Genomic DNA, 4,250 nt, shown 5'->3' on the forward strand with positions numbered 1-4,250 from the left:
TTTCTTCATTCTCTATTCTGTACCATTGTTTAATGTGCCTATTTTTATGCCAGTACCATGCTGTTTTGGTGAATATAGCCTTGCAGTATAGTGTGAAGTCAGGTTATGTGATGCCTCCAGATTTCTTCTTTTTGCTTAGTCTTGCTTTGGCTATGCAGGCTCTTTTTTTGGGGGGTGGGGGTGGGGGTTCCATGTGAATTTTAGGATGTTTCTTTCTAGCTTTGTAAAGAATGATGATGATGGGAATTGCACTAAATTTATAGATTGTTTTTGGCAGTATATGGTCATTTTCACAATATTGATTCTACCCATCCACGAGCATGGGATGTGTTTCTATTTGTTTATGTCATCCATGATTTATTTCAGCGGTGTTTTATAGTTTTCCTTGTAGAGATCTTTCATGTATTTGGTTAGGTATATTCTTAAGTATTTTATTGTATTTTTTTCAGCTATTGTGAAAGGGGTTAAGTTTTTGATTTAACTGTCAACTTACTCATTGTTGGTATATAACAGAGCTACTGAATTGTGTGCGTTAATTTTGTATCCTAAAACTTTGCTGAATTTATTTCCCAGTTGTCGGAGCTTTTTGGATGAGTCTTTAGGGTTTTCTAGGTATATGATCATATTATGAGCAAAGAGCAAAAGTTTGACTTCCTCTTTACCAATTTGGATGCCCTTGATTTCTTTCTCTCATCTGATTGCTCTGGCTAGGTCTTCCAGCACTGTGTTGAATAGAAGCATCTTTGTCTTGTTCCAGTTGTCAGGGGGAATGCTTTCAACTTTTCCCCATTCAGTATAATGTTGGCTCTGGGTTTGTCATCGATGGTTTTTATTACCTTAAGGTATGTCCCTTTTATGCTGATTTTGTTGAAGGTTTTAATCATAAAGCAATGCTAGATTTTCACAAATGTTTTTTCTTCATCTTTTGAGATTATTATGTGTATTTTGTTTTAAATTCTGTTTATGTGGTGTATCACACTTATTGACTTGTGGATATTAATCTCTGAATCCCTGGTTTGAAACCCATTTGATCATGGTTGATTATTGTTTTGATATGCTGTTGGATTCAGTTTGCTAGTATTTTGTCAAGGATCTGTGCATTTATTTTCATCAAGGATATTGGTTGTAGTTTTCTTTCTTTTCTTTTCTTTTCTTTTTTTTGTTTGTTTGTCATGTCATTCCCTGGTTTTGGTACTGGCTTTATAGAATGATGGTGATACTGGCTTTATAGAATGATGGAGGGAGGATTCCCTCTTTTTCTATCCTGTGCAATGAATAGGATTGGTACCAATTCTTTGAATGTCTGATAGAACTTGGCTGTGAATTGGTCCGATTTAGAACTTTTTTTGTTGGCAGTTTTATAATTACCATTTCAATCTTGCCGCTTGTTGTTCGTCTGTTAAGAGTTTCTATATCTTCCTGGTTTAATCTAGGAGGGCTATACATTTCCAGGAATTTACCTATCTTCTCTAGGTTTTCCAGTTTATTCATAGTAGCCTTGAATACTCTTTTGTATTTTTGTGTTATCAGTAGCAATATCTCCCAATTCATTTCTAATTGAGTTTATTTTGATCTTTCTCTTATTGGCTAATCTCACTAATGGTCTATCAATTTTATTTATCTTTTTAAAGAGCCAGCTTTTTGTTGGATTTATCTTTTGTGTTGCTTTTTGTTTCAATTTCATTTAGTTCCTCTGATCTTAGTTATGTCTTTTCTTCGGCTGAGTTTGGGTTTGGATTGTTCTTGTTTGTCCAGTTCCATGATGTTTGAGCTTAGATTGTTTATTTGTGCTCTTTCAGCCTTTTCGAGGTAGGCATTTAGTGCTGTGAACTTTCCTCTTAACACCACTTTTGCTGTATCCCAGAGGTTTTCATAGGTTTTGTTACTGTTATCATTCTGTTCAAATAATTTTTTAATTTCCATCTTTATTTTATTGTTGACCCAATGATCATTCAGGAGCAGGTTATTTAATTTTCATGTATTTGCATGGTTTTGAGGATTCCTTTTGGAGTTGATTTCCAATTTTATTCCACTGTGGTCTGAGAGAGTACTTGATATTATTTCAATTTTTTTTTTAATTTACTGAGACTTGTTTTGTATTATATGCTCTATCTTGGAGAATGCTCCATGTGTAGGTGAATAGAATGTATATTCTGCATTTGTTGGGTAGAATGTTCTGTAAATATCTGTTGAGTCCATTTGTTGTACAACGTTTAAGTATGTTGTTTCTTTGTTGACTGTCTGTCTTGATGCCCTGTCTAGTGCTGTCAGGGGAGTATTAAAGTCCCCCACTGTCATTGTCGTGAAGTCTGTCTCATTTCTTAGGTATAGTAGTAATTGTTTTATAAATTTGAAAGCTCCAGTGTTAGGTGAGTATATATTTAGGATTATTATATTTTCCTGTTGGTGTGTCCTTTTATCATTGTATAGTGTCCATCTTCATCTTTTGTAACTGCTGTTGCTTCAAAGTTTGTTTTGTCTGTTATAAAAACAGCTGTTCCTGTGTGTTTTTGGTGCCCATGTGCATAGACTATATTTTTCCACCCATTTATCTTAAGTTTATGTGAGTCCTTATGTGTCAGGTGAGTCTCCTGAAGACAGCAGATACGTGGTTGTTGATTTCTTATCCATTCTGCCATTCTGTAACTTTTAACTAGAGCATTTAGGTCATTTACATTCAACATTAGTATTGCGATGTCAGGTATTATTCAATTCATTATGCTATTTGTTGCCTGAATGCCTTTTTTCATTGTGTTTTTGTTACCGTTATACAGCTCCTATGATACTTATGCTTTAAGGAAGTTATATTTTGGTCATTTCAAGGATTTGGTTCAAGATTTGGAGCACCTTTTAGCAGTTTTTCTAGTGCTCACTTGGTAGTGGCAAATTCTCTCAGCATTTGTGTGTCTGGAAAAGGCTATCTTTTCTTCATTTATGAAGCTTAGTTTCCTTGGATACAAAATTCTTGGCTGATAACTGTTTTGCTTAAGGAGGCTAAAAACAGTACTCCAATCCCTTCTAGTTTGTAGGGTTTCTGCTGAGAAATTTGCTGTTACTGATAGGTTTTCCTTGTTAGCTTACCTGATGCCTTTGCCTCACAGTTCTTAAGATTCTTTCCTCAGTCTTGACTTTGGATAACCTGATGACTATGTACCTAGATAATGATCTTTTCCAGTGAATTTTGCAGGTGTTCTTCGCGCTTCTTATATTTGGGTGTCTAGATCTCTAGAAAGGCCTGGGAAGTTTTCCTCTATTATTCTCTCAAACATATTTTTCCAGACTTTGAGATTTGTATGCTTTCTTGGGAATACCAATTATTCTAGGTTCGTAAGCTTAACATAGTCCCAAACTTCTTGGAGGCTTTGCTCATTTTTTAAAATTCTTTTTTCTTGGTCTTTGATGGATTGGTTTAATTCAAAAGCATTCTCTTCATGCACTGAAGTTCTTTCTTCTGCTTATTCGATTCTGTTGCTGAGAAATGCATTTTGCATTTCTTCACATGTGTCCTTGATTTCTAGAATTTGTGATTGTTTTCTGTTTATGCCATCTATTTCACTGAATAATTTTTCTTTTATATCCTGTATCATGTTTTTGATTCTTTTAAGTTGGAGTTCACCTTTCTCTGGTGCCTCCTTGATTAGCTTAATAATCGACCTTCTGAATTCTTTTTCTTGCAATTCAGAGATTTTATCTTGGTTTGGATCCATTCCTGGTGAGATGGTGTAATCTTTTGGGAGAGTTAAAAAAAACCTTGTTTTGTCATACTGCCAGAATTGTTTTTCTGGTATCTTCTCCTTTTGGTAGTCCATGTCAGAGGGAAGATCTGGGATTCAAGGGCTGCCATTCAGGTTCTTTTGTCCCATGGGGTGGTGTGATGTTCTCCCATTTCCCCTAAGAATGGGGCTTCCTGAGAGCCTAACTACAGTGATTGTTTTTGCTCTTCTGGGTCTGTCCACCTAGAAGAGCTACCAGGCTCCGGGCCTACTGGAGAGTGTCTGCAAAAAGTCCCATGGTGTGATCTGTCTTCAGGTCTTTCAGTCATGGATATGTGCACCTCAGGGAATTGAAGGGGACTCTGTGAGGGTCCTTGGTTGTCTTTTTGTTTAGTGTCCTTGTTTTGTGTTGGTTGGCCTCCAACCAGGAGGTGGCACTTTCAAGAGTGCATGAACTGTGTTACCTTACTGAGGAAGTAAACTTACCCTAGGGTCACACGGTTAAGTATTCAGTTTTCTCAGAGCCATAGAGCTCCC

This window comes from Homo sapiens, chromosome 9 (assembly GCF_000001405.40).
Source record: "Homo sapiens chromosome 9, GRCh38.p14 Primary Assembly".
In the NCBI taxonomy this organism is placed as follows: domain Eukaryota; kingdom Metazoa; phylum Chordata; class Mammalia; order Primates; family Hominidae; genus Homo; species Homo sapiens.